Source organism: Homo sapiens, chromosome 6 (assembly GCF_000001405.40).
Source record: "Homo sapiens chromosome 6, GRCh38.p14 Primary Assembly".
In the NCBI taxonomy this organism is placed as follows: domain Eukaryota; kingdom Metazoa; phylum Chordata; class Mammalia; order Primates; family Hominidae; genus Homo; species Homo sapiens.
The window spans coordinates 100,660,081-100,685,237 of record NC_000006.12 but is presented as its reverse complement, the minus strand read 5'-3'; the positions used below and the strand labels follow the sequence as shown (position 1 = coordinate 100,685,237).

Below are 25,157 nucleotides of genomic sequence, written 5' to 3'. Positions count from 1 at the left end.
TAATGTAAAACAAAATTTCTCAGCAACATTTTTTCTGTGGGACATCTATCTGCCATATTGTTGTATCTTTTTCAGATATATCCATTCTGCTTCACTTCTTAGCAGTATTCCTAGAAAAGAGGGTTTGATTTGGCCGCGCATGGTGGCTCACGCCTGTAATCCCAGCACTTTGGGAGGCCGAGGCTGGCGGATCACGAGGTCAGGAGATCGAGACCATCCTGGCTAATACGGTGAAACCCTGTCTCTACTAAAAATACAAAAAAATTAGCCGGGCGTGGTGGCGGGTGCCTGTAGTCCCAGCTACTCTGGAGGCTGAGGCAGGAGAATGGTGTCAACCCGGGAGGCGGAGTTTGCAGTGAGCCGAGATCGCGCCACTGCATTCCAGCCTGGGTGACAGAGGGAGACTCCATCTCAAAAAAAAAAAAAAAAAAAAAAGAGTTTGATTCAAGATTTCACATTAAATATTCCTACCGATTTTTTTATTCCTAGTTCATCTTTCACAACCCCCTTAAAAAGGTTGCTAAAGGGGAAGTGTTTTAAATTGTTTTGTGTGATGTTAAATACACATACACACACGCACATATGCATGTAAACGAGTAATAAACAAGTGCATAGTTGTCAATGTATAACAGTGGTATACTGGTCTGTTTAATCTTTTAGGCAAAATTAATTTTGTTTATGTTTATTCGACCTAATAATGGTGCTAATACTTACCAGCTATGACAGAGGTTCTCAAAGTTTCTGGACAATAACATTAGCATCTTTGAACTCCTTAGAAATGCAGTTTCGTGGCTTGCCCCAGACCTATATAGTCAGGAAGGGGATTGGGGGAAACAGCAGCAATCTGTGTTTTTAACAAGCCTGCCAGGTGATTTTGAAGCTTTCTAAAATTTTAGAGCCACCATTTTACTAAACACAGTGTTTTCCCTTACATTGTATCCTTTGATTCTTATAGTAATCCTGTGATACATTGTAACTCTTTATCTGTGTTCTGGGGGAAATAAGAATTGAAGAGATTAAACAATTTATTCTAACTCACACTGATATTTAGCAGTACTCCAAAGAAGAATTTTCAGATCTTTTTCAAATAATATGTCCTTCTTTCCTTTGAATACACCCTGAAACAGTATGTGTTACTTAAGCATTCCAGTTTTCTGAATCATTATTTTCTGAGCTTTTACTCCTTTATTAATTTTAATCAGCATCTCAATGTGAAGAACACTTTCTTTGACAAGTCAAATAACAGGACCAGAACTCAAATTTACATACTTTTTTTTCCCAAGTATGGGAATGATTCCATGATGTATTTTAAATATAAAAGGCTTTTGCAGTTTATGACCACATTCTGCCTACTTTTGTTTCTATGTGAACTTTTCCATAATAAAAATAAAACAATATGAAGAAATGGCTTTTGAAACTAAAAATAGTATATAAAATATTTTTAAATGCATAACCTAAAAAACTCAAATAAAAGCATAAAGTTTTATAAAAATCTGAATTTGCCATCATTATTGACTTAATCTTACTATTCTGTTCTTATTTTAATGACACACACCAATTTAACTGTTGCTCAGTTACCAAAAAGTGTTTCTAATATTAATTTGGAGTTATTTCTGTCAAATGAAACAATGCTGTCCTATTACTTGTGATTTTCATATGAGTCTATTTAAGTTAATTAACCAAATTAGCAAACCATAAAATCAGGTGTGTTTATAGAGACCCAAAACCTTGTAATGACTTCAATGAAATTTTTAATTAAAAAAAAGGGTTTATTTTACTTAACACGACATGATGGATTCCTTAATAAAATGAAATTGTTACTTTAAATTGTAACTAATATTTCTCTTGGCTGCAGTAGAAAATGATTTGCAAAATGAAAAGTTGACAAGTAAGACTGAAATAATTAATGAAGATTTAGGTTGTATTCTGTTTTCCCTTATGTTCTCCATATCTGCTAATTCAACAGGATTTACATAATGTGGCATTTGAATTATGGAGAATAGAAATCTGGTAGCATTATAAAACCCCCATCTGGAAAATAATGTTGGGGCTTATTAGTTATATAAAATACCTTAAAATTTCCTGATATTTCATATGTATAGGTAAATAAAGATATTATTGGGGGGTTCTCAAAACATCTTTGTAGTGGTGGTTTTATTTATTTTACCTTTTAATCCTCTTTCAGCTTCAGAGGGGAAAATTAAGTTGGTAGTAATTATTAACCAATTTCACACAATAACGCTGTGATCATTTCAGTAGTTGTTAATAATTCAATTTCTAGACCCCTCCCTTAGATATCCTTACTCAGCTGGCTTTAAGGGAGGACCCAGAAATCTATTTTAACAAGCAGCAGCAGTGATTCAGATGTAATAGTCCCTAGGTCTCACTGTGAGAAACCTTAGAAGAGAATGTACTCCTTCAAGCTAACACACTAAAAATAACAAAATTAAATATTCCAAATACAACTGTAGCCTCCTTTATGCAACTTTAATCTTGGAATGATAGGAATGATTATCAGAGGATTTTTCTCCCCGTAACAGTAATGTATGAATTTAGAGCTTTGAAACATAGTTATCATAGTATTCCTGGTGCTGTACTAAGCACTTGGTACAGTATTTGGCACATAGTAGGAACTGCATAAATATCTTGGGATGGATGAATGCAGAAAACCAAGTAGCTCCATGTTTAGGGTTCCCACGTTATCCACATGTTATCTTCTCTTTGGTTCAACTGCCTAAGTTATGTGTACAATTTTATCTTTCTCCTTAAATTGTGCAGGTTTTTAATGGAAGAGACCACAGCTTATCTATTTTCATCACTATTTTTTAACTCTGTTTTACACATACATGCCTAGTAAATATTTATCAAGTAAAAAATATTTTGTGATTATTTAATTCATCATAATAGATTCTCATCTCCATGAGGGCAGGGGCGTTGTCTCTCGTTTTCATGGCAGTTTTATCAGGACTTGGTAGTTAATGCATGTTTAGAAACATATGAATGAATGAATGAATAAATAAATTACAAAAAACTTCATTTTAATTCCGATTTTCTTACAATTTAATTTGGGGGTTAATGAGGTTTTCTGGGTGGTAAAATTTATTTTTATATTAGAGAAAAAAAATTTGCCTTGCTCTTTAAAAAGAAACTTACAATGGAAATGTCCCTACCATTTGCAAGAGATAGAATGATAGAACTGGACAAATTCTGAACTGATGAATCTTCAGCAGGGCATTATTATAACAGAATTTTCTATCTTAGCATTAAATAGTGTTTATCAGTCATTACGAAAATATCACAATTTGAACCTATGTGGCAGTTCTTAACATCCTATGAAGTAAAGATGTTTGCCCATGAAAGCTAGAGAGCCTATCAAAAATCAAAAGATTTGTTTTCTTTAGTTGAAAAATTAGGAAAACAGAATGTCCCAGTACCTGCAAACTTTCTGAAATAAATTCTATTAGTGTACTCTTTTTAAAATATTCTTTTCTTTTTTTTTTTTTTTTTTTTTTGAGACGGAGTCTCGCTCTGTTGCCAGGCTGGAGTGCAGTGGCGTAATCCCGGCTCACTGCAACCTCTGCCTCCCAGGTTCAAGCGATTCTCCTGCCTCAGCCTCCTGAGTAGCTGAGATTACAGGCACGCACCACCACGCCCCGCTAATTTTTGTATTTTTAGTAGAGACGGGGTTTCACCATGTTGGCCAGGATGGTCTCAATCTCTTGACCTTGTGATCCACCCACCTTGACCTCCCAAAGTGCTGGGATTACAGGTGTGAGCCACCACGCCCAGCCTTAAAATGTTCTTATGATCATATTTCCTTTCAAAACCTATTAGTATCAGTAAATAAGTTAGAGCTCTGATAAAGTATGAAATCTCAAGATTTATGCCCTTGGTAACTAATTAGCTGATTAAATTTCTCCTGATGACTTGCAGTGCTTTTTGTTTTTCTGTAAACATTTTGGGTTTTTTTGTTTTGCTTTGTTTTGAGGAACTTCTTATCTTCTACAAATTATCTGTTCTCCTTTACTTTGAATGTACCTAAAATAGTATTAGTTATTTAAGCATTCCAGTTTCTTGAATGATTGTTATCTGAGATTTTACTGTGAATTTTAATAAGCATCTCATATGTGGAACACTTACCTTGACAAGTTTATAGACATAAGATTACTATGGCTTAAATATAGAGATACCTCTATAGAAGTATAGATGTCTTTGTGTCACCCTGTCTCCTTTCTGGTCAAATCCCAGACCTCATTCCCCTTTTCATTTCTGTTAGTCCTCAAAATGATCCTCTCTTTTACTTAGGTCAGCTCACATGAGCCTATCGATTCCCTGACTAGATACAATTCTTGAATATCCTCCTAAATGTATAGCCTGCAAAAAACATCAAAGTTTTAACTTCCAGAAAAATGTAACTAACAGAGGAGTATAGGGGAGATATTGAGAAGAGGTGCAAGGATTAGGACATCCAAGTTGCTTCAGGCCTAAGCAGAATACCTTAGTGATTCCAGAGATTTAGATGTGTGAATTTAGTTGAAAGCAGGGGCTAGGGGAACTTGTCTTTAAGTCATTTACTGCACCCACACATACTATCTTTAGATTGTATATTCCAGATTGTTAACAATGTAAAGTTGCTTTTATTCACACCAGATAAAATTGAAAAAGAGCAGTAGTCTATATGAGAAAATAATTTTTATCATACTAATGGCTCTTTGGGAATGCTGGGGTTGAGCTGATTCTGATGTAAGGTAGAGGCCAAAGAAGAAACTTACAGAGGAAAGAAGGCAGGTACTGACAGGGAGCAAAGGCAGGCTGCTAAACACTCCCTTATTCTCTTCAGTTGTATTCACACGTGCCTGGTGACTGTCCCTGAAGATGCATTTTTTCCCCACTTCTTGACACAGCATTCAGGCACACACCTTCCCCCTAGTTCAGATATCCCCAGTCACTTCATGAATAATTCCACAGGAAGGCTTGCACAGAGAATTCTAGGTACTTCTACAGAAGCATTTTTATCTCCAGAAGTCCCCTAACCTTTGTATTTTAAGTGATTGTTCTTAGACATGATTTTGTCCAAGGAAGAGTTTTCTCTATTGTTTTCAATTTCTTGAAACATCTTTATGGAACTGGAAATTTAACTGATGGTAGTAATCTTCCAATGAGAAAGCTCTCAATATTTTTGTATGCTGTCTCTATAATACATGACTATGATAATGAATTATGTATTCAAAAGAGAAACATACAAATTAAACTCCAAATTTTATAGACTCCACAAACTTCTATCAACTTGTAAGCTAAATTTTATTTAACTTGTCTTTTTCCTATATATACTTTGTTCTAAAATAGGGATATGTTGGAGAATTCGTAAATTTGTGATTATGTTTTGAGAAATTAATAGTTGTTTATATGGAATGATATCCAGGCTACTATTAAGCTGTAATTTAATTAATTGGAATATTAAATAAACTGCTTTCCTTTTTTTCAGGTGATGGTGTTTGTACATGCTCGAAATGCCACTGTAAGAACAGCTATGTCTCTAATAGAAAGAGCAAAAAATTGTGGCCATATTCCCTTCTTTTTTCCTACCCAAGGACATGACTATGTACTTGCAGAAAAACAGGTAAGAAACAAAGAGGACAAGAACTAAAGCATGTAACATGCCACATATCCCGGGTATTTTATATGTGAAAGATCCACGGTCTCAATTTCCAAGAAGTTAATTTTGCAGATTTATGATGTTATAATCTTGACTTTTTTCTTGACTTAATGATCTTTTATTAAAAGGTTTCACTCTATGACATAACACTTATCATTCCTTTCTATATGGTTATAATTGAAGTGCCTAGTCCTGCTCTTTAAAATATAGTTAAAATATAAAATGCAGTTAAATTTCATATCCTATGTTAACATCTAATGGGCTTATTATTGTACTTCTAAAGAATTAATACTTTTTAAAAATTTCTCAGTTTTGATTTCTAAGGTTAATATTGACAGATACAACCTAAATAGGCTTTTTTTTTTTTTTTAAGCAATGTAAAGGAATTCTGAGCCAAAAAGTTTGTCAACAGCTTGTTACTCAGTGTACACATGCTCAAAGGACAAAAAGGTCTTGGGGTCACCTGCATCCTTTTAAAAAGGGAGACCTTTAGGCCCCAACCCGGACTCGCCAAACCAGAATCTACATTTTAGCTAGATCCTCAGGTGATTTTGTATACATTACAGTTTAAGAAGTACTCCTCTAGGTAATTTGAGTATTGGTAGTATTTTAAGATTTATATCAGGTTTTATTTAACTATATCAGATAATTATTTACATGAAGATTGGGCAGATTATGGCCCGAAGGCCAAAGATGTCCGTCTGTTTTGTAATTAAAGTTTTGTCAGAACATAAACATACCAGTTTCTTTATTGTGTGACTTTTTTTGCACTACTGGAGAAAAATAGAGTAGTTGTGATAGCTACTGTAAATTACTTTCTGTTTCTTTGCAGAAAAAGTATGCTGACTTCCTGATTTAAAGCTATGAAAATAAATTATGAAATAAAAAATCTGTTGGCATAAAATGATAGTAACTTTAAATTTTATATATATATATAACGTAAGATTTAACTGATTGGTTACTGAACAGCTGCTAGCTGCCAGACATTGTGCTATGCCCTTTTATATTTATTATCCTAGTAAAATATATTTAATTGTGACTGTACTATAAATTTCACTATTTTATATTGATATTTTAAATTCTATGTTAAGCTGATGTCAGTTGTTTTGAACATCAGAGTCTCTTTCAATTTAGAAACACAAAATTTATTCATTTTCTATTTTTTTACTTTTATTACCTAACACTTATTGTACAGATTGTACAGTTTTGTGTCCTTCCAATTATTTATTAATCATGAATTTATGAGAGTCTTTGAAAAGTCAAGTTGGTATTCATAAGTCTTGTTTCATTTCTTTGGAAGTACAAAACAACTCTATGCTGTTTAAAAGACAAGCCTTGAGAGCCACCTTGTGGATTTCTGGTTTCTTTATCCATCTCAATTCAGATAACTATTGTTAATTTAAATAATGCCGGTTTATTATTTAATTGTTGTTATTGTAAAGCTTAACATTTATTAAGTGGTCACTGGTGTCAGGCATTGTTTTTATTACTTTATGTAACTCATTCAATCCTTACAATCTATGATATTGCTGGTATTATCCCTTGATATGGCATATGTGTAAATCAAATATAGTATGAAATATTCTAGAGCATATTATAATAATTTATATGGAGATATTTTAAAATGATGTTTATTTAAGGCAATGTCACCAAGCACTAATTCACAGATCACTATGCTGGAAGAAAAATAACAGAGAAACGGAAAGTTTTGATACAATTGGGTAGACTTGAAAATCCCTAGTCATTTTTATTATAAGCTTTTTTATATTTTTATTATACTTGATTTTTTTCCTGATCCAACTATTATTAGACTTTTTTTTTTCAAGAAGAATGAATTGCACACACATTTATTAAGAACATTGTCCTACTCACCCTTATATTCCCAGCCTTTCATAGAGTATTTGTCTGATAGTAGGTATCCCAGAATTACTTTTTTTCTTAGCTTTTATTCCTCTGAGACTGACATTATAATAGATGTTTCACTTTAATTTTCTCATCTGACCTGTACCATTGTGCTGTCCTTTAAGATTCTTATTCCCATTTTACAGATAAGGAAACGAAAACTGAGAAAGTAAATAATTTTCACAGAGAATCTCATATTAAGTAGTGAGGCCATGATTTGAGCCAGTCTGACTCCAAAGTCCACCATTTTCACTACACTGTGTTCTATTTGTTCAAAAGCAAACAGATCAAATCCAGTCTGGAGCTTTCTGAAGACCTTAGGGCATGGGGTCTTTTTTTTTTAAATAAAATAGAAGAACATTTCTTCAACCTAACTATATCCCTCACTTCTCCTAAAGAGAGATTTTAAAGAGTGAAACCCTCCACAGTGCATATTATAACAAAAGATAAGGTCATCTTTCTCAATATTTTCTCAGAGCTCTAGAATTTAAGAGTATTCCTCTAGTGCTAGTAGTACATTCCTTCATATTTCTTGAAGTGCCTTTGAACTTAAATGGTATTAACATTCTAGCAATTTCAAGGGATCTATTATCATCATGGTGGGAGACATTTCCTCCCATGTTTTTGAAAAATGGGAAATTAAGAACCCAAAACATTAAAATTTAATTAGAAGGTAAATTTGCTACAGCAGTACATAGAAATTTAGCCTCATGCCTTCTGTTACATGGCTAAATCCCTACCATGCCACAGTGATGCCTTACCCCTAAGTGTTTAATGTAATCACCTCAATTCCTGACTTACTAAGATCTTTAAAAGCACTTCTTTACAGTTTCATTTAACACAATGTATTTTTATTTGTGTAAATAACAAAACTCCATTAAGAAAATCCTCCTTTTGTGTGTGTGTGTGTGTGTGTGAGTGTGTGTGTGCGCGCACGCGCGCGCACACATACATTTGCTTGTAATAAGGCTATTTCTATGCCTTAGCTGCAACTGAAATGAGTCTTTTCTCTCTGGTAGTAACAGTTACACCTCAGGACTTCTCATATAATATTGATCTTTAATATCAAAGTCACCCCCAAGGGAAAAACTACCTATATTTCCAGATTTGTCCACTGAAACAAGAATGTAGGGAAAGGAAAGGAAAGTCTCCCAGGAGTAGTTTAACCTTCAGAAATGGAGCTTGGGGCTCTCCCTGGGCACAGGAATATCTCAGGATGTACAAATGATGCCCAAACCAACAGGACACATTCACAAAAAGGTCTGGTTGTGATTTTACCTCTAGAAGGTTTGTGGCCTTGGACATCTAAACATTTCTGAAACGTACTTTCTCTTCTCTCAAATGGAATAATAATGGAGTAAATAATACCTATTCTAGTTATTTACTATGAGAAACAGATAGAATGATGTATGAAATTATTTTGGAAACTGAACAATGATAAAACTTCACCTGTCATAGAAATCTATTTTTAGAAAATATATATACTAGTAACTAAATTTTAAAATGGCAAAAGGATAATAAACAATATGGATAAAATTTTCTTAATTTACCCTACATATTTAATACTTGTATACTCTCCCCCTCAAAGATTGTGTCTTAAGAAACCACTGTTTTCTATAAAATAGAACATACCTCAAGGAATAGCAGCAGTTTATATTTATAAAATTAAGTATATAATTAAAGATGCATATATTTTCGTTATTAAGCCATTGTTTTTCACTGTGATTTTAATTTTAAGTTAAATGAATCCTTCAGTTAGAATTTTCAGATTCTGTTTTACTTGAGATCTCAATCAAATCAAATTTTTCTGTTAGGGACAAATTTTTAACAGGCTTTAACTGTTCTCATAGGGATTGAGTATTCCCACCCATCCCTTTACCGTATGTTTCTGATTTATGGCCCTGATGTGAGTTCAGTATTTTTACATATATCAGTGATGTTAAGAGTTTGTCTTTTAGATAGAATTTCTACCACGTAATAAGCCTTGTGTCTGTAGTTATTGAAAATATCTATTGAACAAGTTATAAAAAGAGGAAGAATCCAATAGTAATACGTATCCTCAAGCTGCTTTAAAGTATAATTTTCTGACTTTTTATTATGTAGATCTGTCAATCATTTCCTTGTTTTTATAAGTTCAGCTTTAGTCTTTGCCTAAATCAATGGCAACTGGAATTAATGCCAATTTGATTTAGTTATCTGATGCTTACTATTACAGCTTGCTTTAATTTTGCATGAGCAGCTTCGGTGTCAGTATGGCCCAGATTAGAATCGTCTCTTCCGAGATGGTATCTGTTAACTAAAGATAGCATAACAGACTTAGTAGTAGCAGGGATGGTTAATAGCCCTCTTTCTCTTACTTTTGTTTTTTGCTTTAAATATATGCAAAATATCATCTTCACAGAGTTTATTCTTTCCCTGCCATATCTTAACCTATTTTCCTCTTGGAGGCTAATATAGTAATTTTACTGTCAGTTACCACCACATAGGATGTCAAAAGTGTATTAGTATTTTTTAAATAAAATCAAACAAAATTGTAAAAAAAAAAAAAACAACTGTTTGCTTAATTGCATTTTTGGGAGCATGACTTTTCTGTTTTCAAAGGGAGGTAACCTCATATAGAATAAAAACTTTGGATCTAAGCAAACCTGTGTTTTAATGTTGATTCACACACTCTGCCTTTTTAACATCCTCAAGCCACATTTCATCACATACAAAGTGGCAATGATGCCTATATTTTAAGATTTTTGTGGCCAGTTGCAGTGGCTCATACCTGTAATCCCAGCACTTTGGGAGGCCGAGGCAGGCAGGTCACCTGAGGTCAGGAGTTTGAGATCAGCCTGGCAACATGGTGAAACCCCGTCTCTACTAAAAATACAAAAAAAGCCATGCATGGTGGCATACGCCTGTAGTCCCAACTACTTGGGAAGGCTGAGGCAGGAGAATCGCTTGAACTTGGGAGGCGGAGGTTGCAGTGAGCCAAGATCGCGCCACTGCACTCCAGCCTGGGTGACAGAGGGAGACTCTGTCTCAAAAAAAAAAAAAAAAAAATTCTGTAATAAATAAGCTAACATATACCTTGCCTAACACATGGTAGATATTCTGTAAATGTTTACCCATGAGTTTTGAAGAGAAAGAAGATAACAGTTTAAAACAATAATAGATGAGACAAAAATTAAACTTAATGCTTTGGAACAATAAAAAATAATATTGAATTGTAAAAAGCAGTAAGCAGGTTGGTGGAAGAAATATTAGGAACAGCAACAACAGACCAGTTAATATCTACATCTTTATATGTATACTTATTAAATTTAATAACTTAAAACATGAAGTTTCCAGGAAGAAAATAAGCAAGAAGAAGAAATAAAGTGGGTAAACAAACTTTGGATGAAAAAAAATTTCTTAAAAAATTATGTAATATATATTCATCAATATATTATCAAAATCTAAACATAATAGTACCCAATTCTGAAGATGATTTGAGAAGATTTTCTGTAGTATTGATCAATTCAATACTTTAAAAAAATTTTTGATAATAGATTTAAAAGCCAAGCCAAGGGTCTTATTCCAGACCTTTTAACTTTGAAATTCTAAACCTGGGAATTTTTCAAAGGAAAGATTAAAAGAAAAAGTTAATATACACCAAGATTAAACAGTTCAGAGGAAATGTAAAAGAGAAGCAGATTAATTCAAGCCAGTAATTTTAAATTTCAATAGGCAGCAACAGGGAAAGGACGTTCCAAAGAGAGAAAAAAGAGAACACAGGCAAAGGAAAACTCTGGGTTTATTTGGAGAATAAGAATGTTCTCTATTCACAGGAATGTAAGGTGCATGGAGGGCTAGGCATGGTCAGACAATGGAAGACTTTAAATTCCATGCCTAGGCTTTTAGACTTTATATGCAGTGAGAAGCTATTGAAGATTGTTGAAGAGTCAAGTTGTGTGACCAAAATTCACGTACTGAAAAGTAGGATTCACTTTCTTCCAATCAAGGGACATTGTTGTGGCCCATGTGTTCATTTCAGTGTAGTCTAACATGTGGTTCACTTTGAATAAGTGAGACTCTTTTTAAAGAACATAGTAAATAGCATTGAAATTTTATCCTTGTTTCTTTTGTTATTCCTTTTAAGGAAATTTTGATTGTAGCTATTTTTTTTTCTGTGCTTTAAGATGCATTTTAGAAGCATAGAATAAATTTCTTACAATAAATTAATACATCTTGTTAAGGAATCATGCTGTTTTGACAAAAATATGTTAATTAGAATGTTGTTTTTCACTCACTTGAAAATACTTGAGTAGAGGAAGCACTCTAAAGACATCAGATTAATAAATAATGTTATAAATTCCTAGGGGTAGAGAGATTTGTAATGATAAAATTTAAAATCAAAAACATATTTCATGTTGTGATTTAATTTTTTTAATTTTTCTATTTATTTACAGATGGCCAATTGAATTAAAATAATGCAATTTTAGATGAGATTTATCTTTTTCTAATTAGGGTCCTCTCTCTGGAATGCCAACTTATTTCTATTAATAGTCAGGACAGCCCATATGGGAACTAGGATCATCTTTCAAGGAATATGACATGAAACAGAGCAAATAGCACTTTCTTTCTCCCAAGTTAAAGTGCATAATTAACACAATCAGAATAACATATGGAAATTAGTTATTGGGATTAGGCTAGTCTGGGTGATTGTGACTTGTTTATATACACATGAGCCTTAAACTGTTTTTTGTCGTGATCACTCAGCAAATATTTACTCGGTGTAAGCTGGTTACCAGTCATTTTAATAGATCATTGGGTATCAATATAAATAAAGTGCTGTCAACCTGTTTATAGTGAATTGAAGTAGACACATGTATCAGTTATGATTTAGTAAAAGGAACAGAAACCATTCTAGGTACATTTTAAATAAAAAAGAATTTATATAAGAAATTAGGTACTTATTAGAAATTTGGTAAAATCAGAGGAGTAGAAGTCCAGAGCTACTACTACAGATCTTGAATTTAACAACCAGTTACATGATGGTGATTAGCAGTTTAAAAGCCACAGCTATTACTACAGATGCCTTCCAACATTTGTGAACACACTAGAAAACCAAATTTTGAATGTATAGTACATCTGTTAAAACTTTCAACCCTTCTGTCTCCAAAATCTTGCTTGCTAGAAAAACACAATAAGAGATAGTTATCTCTTCATTTCCATCATCCAGATCTTGCCTGAATGCTTTTAATTAGCAGAATGGACTTTATCATCTAGTAACCTTACTATATGAGATCTGGGAAATTATATTCCAGTCCAGGCAATACAGTAAGACTCCTAGAAGGAGGTAAGACCAGATATTATATGTAGACTAATATTATTTGCTTTAATTAGAAGTGGAAATATTTTTAGGGAGGAAAAAGTAGTCATCCCTTTACGCTTATGGAGCTTATATTCTGGAAGGACAGAAAGATTAAACAACTAATTAAATAATTGATTTTAATTACATTTGAAATAAATAATAAAGAGGGATAAAGTGCTAAGAAAAAATTGAGTTAGAGAATCTGATCTAGACCCATGGTGTTAGAGGATGGTGTTGACCAACAAAGTGACATTTAAGCTGATCTGAAGGCTAGGAGTTGACAAAGCAAAAGAGAACAGACAAGAATTCAAAGAAAAGGCTGACATAAAAACATGCACATTGAAGCAAATAAGAAAAACAAATCAAGATGACTAAAATGTAAATAGTGACAGGGAGTGGCAGATGGCAACTATGTGGCATGAGTCTAATCTAGGCAAGGACCAGATGTAATACCCTCAGTTGCTTGCTACCAGTTTTTTAAAAATCATGTTATTTAATCATGTATTTGTGTTAGTTTAGAAGTAAATGTTGGGAAATAGTCACATTTTTACCTTATTTTTAAAAGCATTGACATTGTGTTTTTTCTCTCATGAGTAGGAAAACGTTATGTAAAGTCGTGGAAAGAAGTTCTGCATGCTTTCACTGGGGGAAAGGAATATAATGCCTTAATTGTGCTGATGGATTATCTTAGCAGTTGCCCATTCCGTTTGAGTTTTACTGACTATAAAGCCCTGTGTGGAAAGTTCACTTGTGAAAACTGGAAAGATTAAGTCAGAGGAAACCAAACTTAGACAGTTCTGAAACTACATACCTTACTTCCTTTACCTTTTCACAGCTGGTATTCTTTTGTGCTGGATTTCCATGTGTAGAACACTTTATCCAGTGAGTATAGTATTGGATCTCAAATGGCTTCTGTGGAGAATCCAAATCGTCTGTTCACAAAATGTGAACAAGATAAAGTATATCTCTGTAGTTATTCAGACAGTAGCAAAACCTGGGCTCCGTGTAGTGCTAGCTTTGGAGAACCGAGTAGAAAAAGCAGTGATTTTTCTGATGCTTTAGAAAGCAGCAGGCATCTTATAGTAAACAAGTTTAGCTCCATAATTTATGGTCTTAACCATCTCTTTGTCCTTCATTTCTCCAAATAAAACTTCTTTTAAAAAGCTTCTTACATTTCTTTTGAGGAAAGATTTGTACAACAACCATTGTGTGTTTGCCTGTGTGCATGGGTATATGTTTTAATACAAAAAAGTTGCATCATGTTATATACACCTTTTTGTCTTTTTCTTTTTCATTTAGTAATATAACAAGGAGGTCTTTCCAAATCAACTCAGAAAGATGGGTTTCATTCTTTTTGCAACTGTATAATATGTCACAATGTGGATATTACAGTAATTCATATATGGAATCCTATATTGATGGATACTTTTGTTGTTTCCAGTTACCTTTTATTGTTAACAATGCTGCAGTACACATTTTCGCTCCTACTCTTGCAATGATATACATTAGAAAAATTCGTAGCAGTGAAATTTATCTGTCATGTACTACATGCATTTAAAATTTTGATGAGTGGCCCTAAACTGCCTACTGGAGATATTGTTCCAATTTATACTTCCTCCAGCAGTTGTTACAGATGGCCCTCCATGTCCATGGGTTCCATGAATTCAGCCAACTGCGGATTAAAAGAATTTGGGGGGGAAAAAAAGTTGGTTGTATCTGTTCTGAACATGCACAGATGACTTTTCTGCAGATTAAAAGAATTTGGGGGGGGGGAAGATGGTTGTATCTGTTCTGAACATGCACAGATGAATTTTCCTTGTCATTATTCCCTAAACAATACAGTATAACTACTTATATAACACTTACATTGTATTAGGTATTATAAGTAATCTAGAGATGATTTAAAGTATACAGGCAGACAGTGTAAATTATATGCAAATATCACACCATTTTATATAAGGGACTTAAGCATCCATGGTTTGTGGTGTCTACAGGGGAAGAGAAGGTGTTTGTTGAATCAATCCCCCATGGATACCATGGGAAGACTGTGCTTTACCCCCACATAACTTTGCCAGCACTGGGTAGTGTTAACGTTTTTAAGTTTATAACAGATTAACAGGCAAAAAATGGTACTTCATTATTATTTTGATTGGCATTTCTTTAATTATGAGTGAAACTGAGCATTTTTTACATTGGCTATTTGTATTTCCTATTCTTTAAATTGTTCATAATCTTGGCCCGTTGTGTACTAAACTGCATGTTTAGTACATATAGGTTACATAAACTTTTTCTGTTTAATCCTTGATGTTTATTTTTGTTTATGATTTTTTTTACCATGTAGAAATTCCGTAAATTTATTTATGGTTTCTGGGTTTTATGTGTTGCATATAAAAGCCATACACCTACTTCATCTGTGATTTCTTCAAGCCTTATATTTTATTTTTATTATTAAATACTTGATGTTTCTGAAACTTATTTCAGATAGTGGTGGGCACATCATCTTTTTCTAAATACTGTTTTTTCTGTTGATTAAAAAATTTAATATACAATATTCTCTTATTTACTTGAGTCATTTCTGAAATTTCTCTTCTGTGTCATTGATCTTATTGTTTCTTCTTTTTTATCAAACTGTTTTACTTATTTTGTTTTCATAGAATTCTCAATAACTGATTGGATTAAACATCCTGATTATTCTTCAGTTGTAGAATTTCTCCTGGATAAATTTTCAGTCTTACTTTTCAGGATGAATTTTAGTATTCCCTCCAGGAAATCATGTTCATATTTTAGTTAAGTTAGTGCATTGATTTTACACATTAAGTTAATGAGAAATGGTATTTTTGCCAAATCAAGTTTTCCTGTCTCAAAATTAAATCTATTATTTCTTGAATGTTCTTCAGCAATATTATAAAACTTTATATGGATCCTGGCTATCTCTTATTATTTCTGTTTTTGCTGTTATAAAAGTGATTTTTTCCACTTATTTTATGAGTTATTGTCTGTGTATATATATATAGTGTATATATGTCTTTTTATAAAACTTTTATAAAATATATTTTTATAGTAAAGATTAATACTTTATATTAAAATGAAAGAAAAGAAAAATATATTTCTTTACATTTTTAGAAAATATGTAATATAAAAAATATTTTACATAATATTAAGGAAAAGAAAAATGTTTTCATAAAAGAAATACTTTTATAAAAATATTAAATTTTTGAGACTATCATCTTTCCAAATTCTTTTATTTTATTTAGTATATTTTAGTCAGTACTCAGTTTTCTAAATAAACACTTTATCTACAACAAATAATTAATTTATAATTATACCTTTTCAGTATTTATATTCGTTTTTTCTCATGTCTAGTATTGTCTAGAACATCAATAGACTGATACCAAACAACCTTGCCTACTCCCTAATTTTAATTAGTATACTCTGTATGTTTACTATTAAGCATAGTTTCAGATGTATATTGTCATCTCTAATCATCAGGACTGAATGTAGCCTTTTGTCAAAATTCAATGTCTGCACATGATCATAATGTTCTTTCTTTTTTGAATTATTAAATATGTTAACATATTAAGTACAATGCCCTTGCATTCTGGGGTTGAAGAGTACTTAGTTGTGGCATTTTGTTTTAATGCATTGATGAATTCTGTTTTCTAAAGTTCTTTACTATTTAGAGTAATATTTGTAAGAGAGATATTGTTATTGTATTCACTTTTCTGCTTTGTCAGGTTTTAATATCAGTGCCATTATATTCGCTTGTAGAATCAGTTTAAGTGTTCTGTTTCTGTCCTCTAGAGTCTCTTAATAGCATTAGAATTAATTCATCTTTAAAAATTTGAAAGCCCAGCTGTTAAATTTAACTCTTAAATTTTCTTTCATTATTTTTATCATTTTAGAGTTTTCTGTCACTTCTAGGTTAAATATTAGTAACAATATTTTCCTAGAAAATCATCCATTCCAAACAGTTTAAGTGAAATGCACTGAATTTTACAAAGTGCTCTTTTCTGATTCTTTTAAACTGTAGTATATTTCTTTCATATTCTTTCAAATTGTGATATTTTCGTTTTGCTGATATTGGGTCTTGTGCTTGTGCTGTTGTACTTGTGTACAGCTATACAGATTATTTTACTTAAAGACCAGGTAGTAAACATTTTAAGCTTGTAGACATATGATCTCTCCCACAACTATTCATTCAGCCCTCCTGTTGTAGCTCAAGCAGCCTTAGACAATCTGTAACAAATTGATATGGCTGTTTTCCAATAAGTTTTATGTACAAAAACAGGTAGTTGGCACATATTTTGCCAGCTCCTTCTCTAGTCAGTAATGGCCACTGTCTATTTTTGTTTGATTTTTTTCTTTTAAGGTAAGAGTGTTAATTTTTTTTCTCAATTTCACAATCTTTAAATCATTGGTTCTACCAATGATTACCTAACTGGTCTCCCTTATTTCTCTCCTTCTCAGAAATCTTCAGTGGCTTTCCATTTATTTAGAAGAAAAGCCCAAGTCTTTATCCATGGATCACTTCAAACTCATGCGCAAAACATAATTTACTCCTGACCTTCTTAGTACCTAAGTTAAAGGCAATCATTGACTCTCCTCATTCTGTTTACCTTATCGTATATTCAGTGCACCAAGATAAGGATTAGCTTGAAACAATTCTAACTCCTTTTCTTTTATGTCATGTTCATCCCCCTTTCTAGACAGTCATCCAGTCTTGGTTACTTTCTAGCCAACTTTAACCTTGACTTTGTTTGGTTATTTCTGTTTCCCCTGCCTCCATCTTCTGCAGATTGCTGTAGTGGCCGATACCTGCTCTGGTCTTAGCACAACTGTGAAGTTACCTCTCTAAAGAACAAATCTGATACTGCTTAAAAACTTGAATTGGCTCCTTTTCCACCTATGTTCAAGACAATGTAAAGCCTGACCCCAATCCTTTTTTCTAGCTTAATTTTCTTAATTTTTGCCCCACACCCTCTGAACAGAATGCCCTCCAAACACACTGTGTGTGCTCTTTAATAATTCCCAGCTTAGGTACTTATATATCCTGCTGCCTACCTTTCCCCATTTAGCAGTTTATCCCTTGTCCTTCAAGACTCACGTTTCACATTTTCTGTAAAGACTTCTTTGATCAAACTATCAGATCACTGATTCATTCATTCAGGGAATGTGTAGTATCAGTATGAAGAAGGCACCCTGCCAAATGTTAGCGATACAAATGTAAATAAGACATAATTTTGTCATAAATGACAATATCATGTCATAAATAACAAAGTTTCATCTTGGTCCCTGTACCTCTATCATAAACACATTATATTTAATAGAAATCACTTGTATATGAGTCTGTCTTCCTTACCAGTCTGCAAATTATCCAAAGCTCAGATTTTGTCTTAAATTTCTTTGAATTCCTAGGATCTAATATATGATAAATACATGTTTCTTATTGATCTTCTCTTTGATTCTTTACAGTGCTTTTTTTTTGTCTGTTAGTGACTATCATGTTTCATAAATTTGTTAGGAGGTACTCTTCTTAGGAATGTAAATAATTTAGTACAATAACAAATACGAGGTTGCTTAGCACTAAATAGTCTCATGAGGTCAAATTGTACAGCTGTATTATAACACAGGTGGATAAAAACATCATTGCAAATATCCTTCTGTAAAAAACTCGCTCCTTATACTTTTGTGTGCAGTAGAATCACTTGAGGAGCTGATTAGATATGCACATCCAAGAACATGGAAGATGTTTAACATCATTAACTGTTAAGGAAACTTATGTTAAAACCATGGTAAGATACTACCACACACCTGTTACAATTGCTAAAATAAAAAATAATAATTATATAATGTATGGGAAGCTGGCAAGTATGGGAAGCAACTGGAACTGTTATACAATGCTGATGCAAATGCAAAATGTTAAAATTCTCCAGAAATGCTTTGGCATTTTTATAAAAGTAAACATACATTAACCATGTGACCCGTAAGATTCATGCCTGGTATTTACTTTGGAGGAATGAAATCATATTAATATATACAAAAAAGTGTACATGAATGTTTATAAATGTTCTGTTTATAATTGTGAAAACTGGAAACAACCCCCATGTCCTTCAGTGAGAGGTCCGATTAACAGACTGTAATGTGCCCATCTGTAGTACCGTGGAATACTACTCAGCAATAAAAAGGAATGAGATATTGATATATGCAACAACTTAGATGAATCTCAAAGCCATTAATCTGGGTGACAGAAACTAATTTCAAAAGTTTATAAGCTTTCTGACTCAATTTATATAGTGGTCTTGGAGAGACAAAACTATAGGGTTGGAGTACAGATTAGTACAGTGGTAGTAGTTGCGAAGAGTTTAACTATAAAGAAATAGCATGAGGGGGTTTTTTTAAGGTGGAGAAACTCCTCTTGATTATGATGGTAGCTACACAAATCTAACACAAATATGTCTTAAAATTCTTAGATGTGTACACTAAAAGTGGAAAAATAGTTTTGCTTTATGATGATTTTTAAAATCACATGAGGAACATCCCTGGGCCTCATCTCCAGGGATTCCAGTTCATTTTTTTTTCTTCTTTTTTTTTTGTTTTTTGAGACAGAGTCTCACTCTGTCGCCCAGGCTGGAGTTCAGTGATGTGATCTCGGCTCACTGCAGCCTCCACCTCCTGGGTTCAAGTGATTCTCTTGCCTCAGCCTCCCGAGTAACTGGGACTACAGGCACATGCCACCATGCCCGGCTATTTTTTTTTTGTTTGTTTGTTTGTTTTTGTTAGTAGAGACGGAGTTTCACCATGTTAGCCAGGATGGTCTTCATCTCCTGACCTCGTGATCTGCCTGCCTCACCCTTCCAAAGTGCTAGGATTACAGGCATGACCCACTGTGCCCGGCCAGATTCCAGTTCATTTTTGTTGTGAGCTAAGGCAGACCACAGATGGAAAATTCAGATTCAAAGATAGTTAAGAATAAAAAACCCAGACTTACTTTGATTGTTGTCACTTCAAGTCTGTAATGAACCAATAAAAAAAATGCACAGAGTATGCAAGAATAGAAATAGAAGTGACTCCTACCTCCTCCTAGTTCCTCACAGAGACCAGAGAGATATACCAAGTTGGTGGCCACTGACGCTGGTTGAATGTGAAACTGGCCACTGATGCTGGTTGAATGTGAAACCCATGTGATCAAGTGGGAGGTACTATGTCAGTACTCCAAGATCCACCTGCTACTTTATAAGAAACATCTCTATCACAGATACATACTTCCCTTGTTTAACTTCTTACTGTGTCATTGGTGCCACAGCAGTCCTAGCCATGTCTTCCCTCAAATGGGGTTTGACTAAGGAATCTATTTGTAAGAAGGACAGCAGAACATTTCAATGCAGGGAGCCCACAGAAAGCAGACTTAACCTAAAACCAAACAGCAATCCAGCAATATGATTTGAATATCACCTTCAACCAATAGTTTTAGTTTCCTCTGTTGGCTTTGAATATCCACTCTTGAATATTAGAAAAGAAATGAAGTAAGTGAAATGTTTCTCCTCTCCCTACCTTTAGCCTCTGAAGGAGCTCTTAGCAAATACACCACAATTGGACTTTTTTCCATATTCATAAGAGCTGCTTTAAGATTACAGTAACAATATTGCTTGTCTGAAAAGATGAAAGCTGAGGCAATGAGATCCAAGTGTAATTAGTCCTAAAGTATATGTATAAAATAATTTCTAACAGGCTGACTGCACTGCATAAGAATAAAGTAAGAATACACCCCCCTTGAAACTTTAAGAAGCTCTCCTCTTTTGTTATGTTTATATATGTATTTTGTTTTGGACCCTTAAGAGGCTCAAAATGTGTAAGTTGTTATTTACTTGGTTGGCCACTAGATGGTGTGGTTTGTTAATGCATTACTTTTGGTTTTATAATTGAAGCAGATTTCATGGAATACTATTTTCTTAGATAATTTTATTAGTTAAATATTATTAACTTAGAAGTTTAAAATTTTAAGTGACCTGAGAGATAATCAGTATGGCAAAGTCTAGAATGGAACCCCAGTCCCCTGAAATCTTACTCCCTGCCATTATCCAGCCCTTAAGTAAAAAGTGTAGGGAAAAAACTGTTCAAAAAGAAGCTCATGAATTGATAATGAGATTTTGAGACCAATAGCAAATAAACACATGATGTGATGGCCAAACAGAAGCTTTAACTATATAAACATTTCTTTAAATGTTAATCTAAGGTCTTTAATTTTTCTTAAAAATTCTGCCTATTGTATAGTGAATCTTCAGTGAGTCTTTTAAGACCTTCTGCTACAGCACTTACACAGGTGACATATAAGTATACTAAATCTCACCTCTGGGCTCAGATTAGGCCAAAGAACAGAACCAGAAGTAACATTATTACAGTAGTCCCCCCTTATCCATGGGGTATATTTCCAAGATATGAAACCACAGATACTAGTGAACTAACTTGATTGGTGTCAATTAAGTGCGTTTTTGTTTTCGTGTCTTCCACCCACAAATTTAAAGCCTTTTTCATCTTAACTATGTATCACACTGTAGCTGTAACTTGCAATTTGAGGTGCAACAGCAAAACTAACACAAATTTCTGTTTTCTTCTTTGTAATTTCACAACTAGAAGATTTGTTGCTCTTACCATCGATTTTAGCAACCTCAGCATACAATTTCGTTTTTATTCCCTTAAGTTGAAAACTTTCACCTTTTCACATAAAGGAAACACTTTATGGCTTCTCTCTGGCAAATTCAAGTTGCCAGCATCACTAATGTTGTGCTTCAGGGCCATTATTAAGTAAAATAAGGGTGACTTGCAAACACTGTGATACTTAAACAGTCAATCTGATAACCAAGCCTACTACTAAGTGACTAATGGGTGAGAAATGTCTACAGCTTATATATGCTGGACAAAGGGACGATTCATTTTCTGGGCTGGATGGAATAGGACAGTGTGAGATTTCATCATGCTACTCAGAAGAGCATGTAACTTAAAACATGATTTGTTTATTTCTGGAATATTCTACTTAATATTTTTGGACCACAGTTGACCTCAGGTAATGGAAACCACAGAAAGCAAAACTACAGATAAGGAAGGACTCCTCTATACTCAATGCACATCTATAGTTGAGGAGCTAAAACAGATGGTCAATGCTTTGCTATCAAAGATCACCAAGAACACAGCTGTAGGTGAACAAAGCTGGGTTTATTGACTTATCGCAATGAGGAATATCATAGGGGAAGCATCATGGGGATCTCAATAAGAAGGGAGAAGTCCTCAAAGGCAGTGGGTCTGAAGTAAAAGTGTAAAGGCTCTGAAGCAGATATGGACTTGTTGGAAAATATACTCAGAAAAGCCAGCCATTGTGGCTAGTGTGGATGAGGTAAGGGGATGAGATTGATTTCCATAGTCTTGCATTGTAATGACTCTGGCCTTTACTCTTAAGGAGTTGAGAAGCCACTGAGATTTAGTTTTATTTTGAATAGTGTATATTTTGAAGGCTAAGAAACAGGTAATACTGATTGATTGCAAAAAGGGACATCTGGATGAAAGAGACACTTGCTTTTCACCTCTTTCCTTTTGAATTTTGTGATATATTTTGGTATTACCTATTTTTTAAGATAGGTAACATTATTTTTTATGATTTTATATAAAGCATTATATACTAAGACCTAGTAATACCTTAAGATGCTTAAAAATAATTTTCTGATTTCTTTGATGAACTCATACAACAGAAATGCTAAAAACAATTGCTTTTAAATGCTAAATAATACTCTTACGCTTTCTTGGTATCTAGGTACAAAGGTCGAGAAATAAGCAAGTACGAGAATTATTCCCAGATGGTTTTAGTATTCATCATGCAGGAATGCTTCGGCAGGACAGAAATTTAGTTGAAAACTTGTTTTCTAATGGGCATATCAAAGTCCTAGTGTGTACAGCTACGTTAGCCTGGGGTGTCAATCTTCCCGCCCATGCTGTTATTATTAAGGTAAGAGCTTACCTTCCTTGATAAATGGATTTTGTGTGTGTCTTAAAGCAAGGCTCTGGGTTGACTTACATAGAAAAATATTGTGATTTGGCTGTTTCCTTGACTTTGAATGTTATTTATAAAAGGTCAGAATTATTTTCTCCAATAAGAATCTAGTTTATATTGTGAAAATTTTACTCTATCACAGATGATGAAAGGATTAGTTAAAGTACACTTTTGAGATCTTGCCATATTTGCCTAATTTCAGTATTCAGTTCATCAGGATTATATTTGTGTGTGTTTATGTAAATTTTTGTTAACTTTTCCTCATCTAGGGAACACAAATATATGCTGCAAAAAGAGGCTCCTTTGTTGACCTTGGAATTTTAGATGTCATGCAGATATTTGGTCGAGCTGGACGACCACAATTTGACAAATTTGGGGAAGGAATAATTATAACAACGCATGATAAACTCAGCCATTACCTCACTTTGCTCACTCAACGAAACCCAATTGAGAGTCAGTTTCTGGAAAGCCTTGCAGATAACCTAAATGCAGAGGTAAGATCTAATGAGTAAAAGTTTGGAATAGAATCATCAGCCTTAAGAATGACCAAGAAAGATGAAGATTGAGTTGGTTGCTGTTTTGTAGTGTTTAGGATTACAGCCTATGCCATATAAGTTATAAGACAAAACAGGGTGAATGGCATTATTGTTGATTAATTCAGAGGATTATAGAATGATAACTGATAAAAATCTATTGTTAAAAGACCATACTTTTAAACTATGAGGCTTTCCTAGAGACCAGAAATCTAACAAAGACTATAGAAAATATGGAAACAGAAATAGCAATAATAATTAATATTTGTATGGCACTTTTGCAAAGTTTTAAATGAAATTTTTACTAAAGGTTTAATGAAATTTATAAAACTCTTTTAGCTCTATTAGGTCAGTTGATTAACTTTGTTATACACAATGTGATTGAGCTAGATTATGATCATTTGTTTTGTGTGTGTGTGTGTGTGTGTGTGTGTGTGTGTGTGACTTTTGTGTTAAGATTTACATAGCAGACCCTGGAAGCCTAGGTAACATCTTAACTGGTAAAGAAAATAAACATTCTTAAAATTTAGAGTATATGTATAGAACATTAAAATCAGGTTTGACTGTTTTTGTGACATTTTAAATTATTGCTTTGGTATTCAACACTTTGCTAGTTCAGTATTCTTTCATACCTTTAAAGTTGACTCAAACAATACTTGAAAGTAGGTAGGATATAAATATTAAGTAAATGAATACTTTGAAATATTTGTAATCAAATACTACTTATTTTGTACAAAGTCCTATATTAGGTACTTCTTAAAGAGCTTATACAAATTTCATTTAACATTCCATTCATATTATTGATAAGTCTTTTTAGAGAATGAAAAACACACTTACTATTTCATTTTCTCTATTAAGAAGTGTATATTCCAAAAGGGGAGAAAAAGACATGAAAACACAGTGCAATAATGTTGGAAAGACAGTTCTGTAGAAGGATTCAGCAGAAGGAGAAAATAGGTTTCTCCCAGGCTATCAGGAAAGTCTTGGTTCATGAATGTGGTAAAATTTGATCCAGTGAGAGTATCTTTATTTTATGAGAAAATTGGGACTTTTAGGTGAAGTGAGTTAGAGTAACAGCTTGTCTAGTGCAGAAGATCTGTGTTGGAGAGTATTCACTGCCAGAATTGGGACAGTCATTCAAAGAATGGATAAGTTTTAGAAGATAACGGTTAGAGAGAAAAGCATGAAAGGCCTCATTTTCTATTAGCAAAATTACAAGAACATTTTTGAAAACTGAGAAATAAAATTTGAATCCAAAGGAAATATTATGATAGCTCAATTTCAGTCTTACTGGCTACTGTAATTGTGTGGCTTAAATAACTACGTGTTGGGTTAACAGTGTCTAATGTACAGAACAAAGTCTCTTAATATAAAATGATAGTGGCAGTGAACTGAGGACCTGCTGTATACCAGAGACTCTGCTCAGTGCTTCACGTACATTATCTTATTCTCTCAATACTGCTGCTATGGAGATATTATCCAGAGAGTGATATGTAACTGACCCAAGGTCACTACATTATAATTTTTGAAACTAGTATTCAAACTCAGATCTATTTAACTCTAAACCTAGACTTTTCATTATAGCTTAGATTTCTTTTATATAAAATGTAGTAAGTTAAAGGTGAATACATTTCCCTATATTAATATATAGCATTTGCCCTCTTCTCAGGCCTCTATTAAAAACAT

General features: G+C 33.4%; 1 protein-coding gene across 5 annotated transcripts in view; it reads left to right on the top strand.

Moving 5' to 3' along the window:
* The window catches only part of ASCC3 (activating signal cointegrator 1 complex subunit 3), a 373,136-nt gene that overhangs the window by 196,092 nt on the left and 151,887 nt on the right, over positions 1-25,157 (top strand). For all 5 annotated transcript variants that reach the window (NM_006828.4, XM_011535394.4, XM_047418108.1 and 2 more), the window contains 3 exons: positions 5,486-5,620; positions 22,702-22,893; positions 23,208-23,432. In NM_006828.4, coding sequence (NP_006819.2) covers positions 5,486-5,620; positions 22,702-22,893; positions 23,208-23,432 — 552 coding nt within the window. The remainder of the gene's footprint in view (positions 1-5,485; positions 5,621-22,701; positions 22,894-23,207; positions 23,433-25,157) is intronic.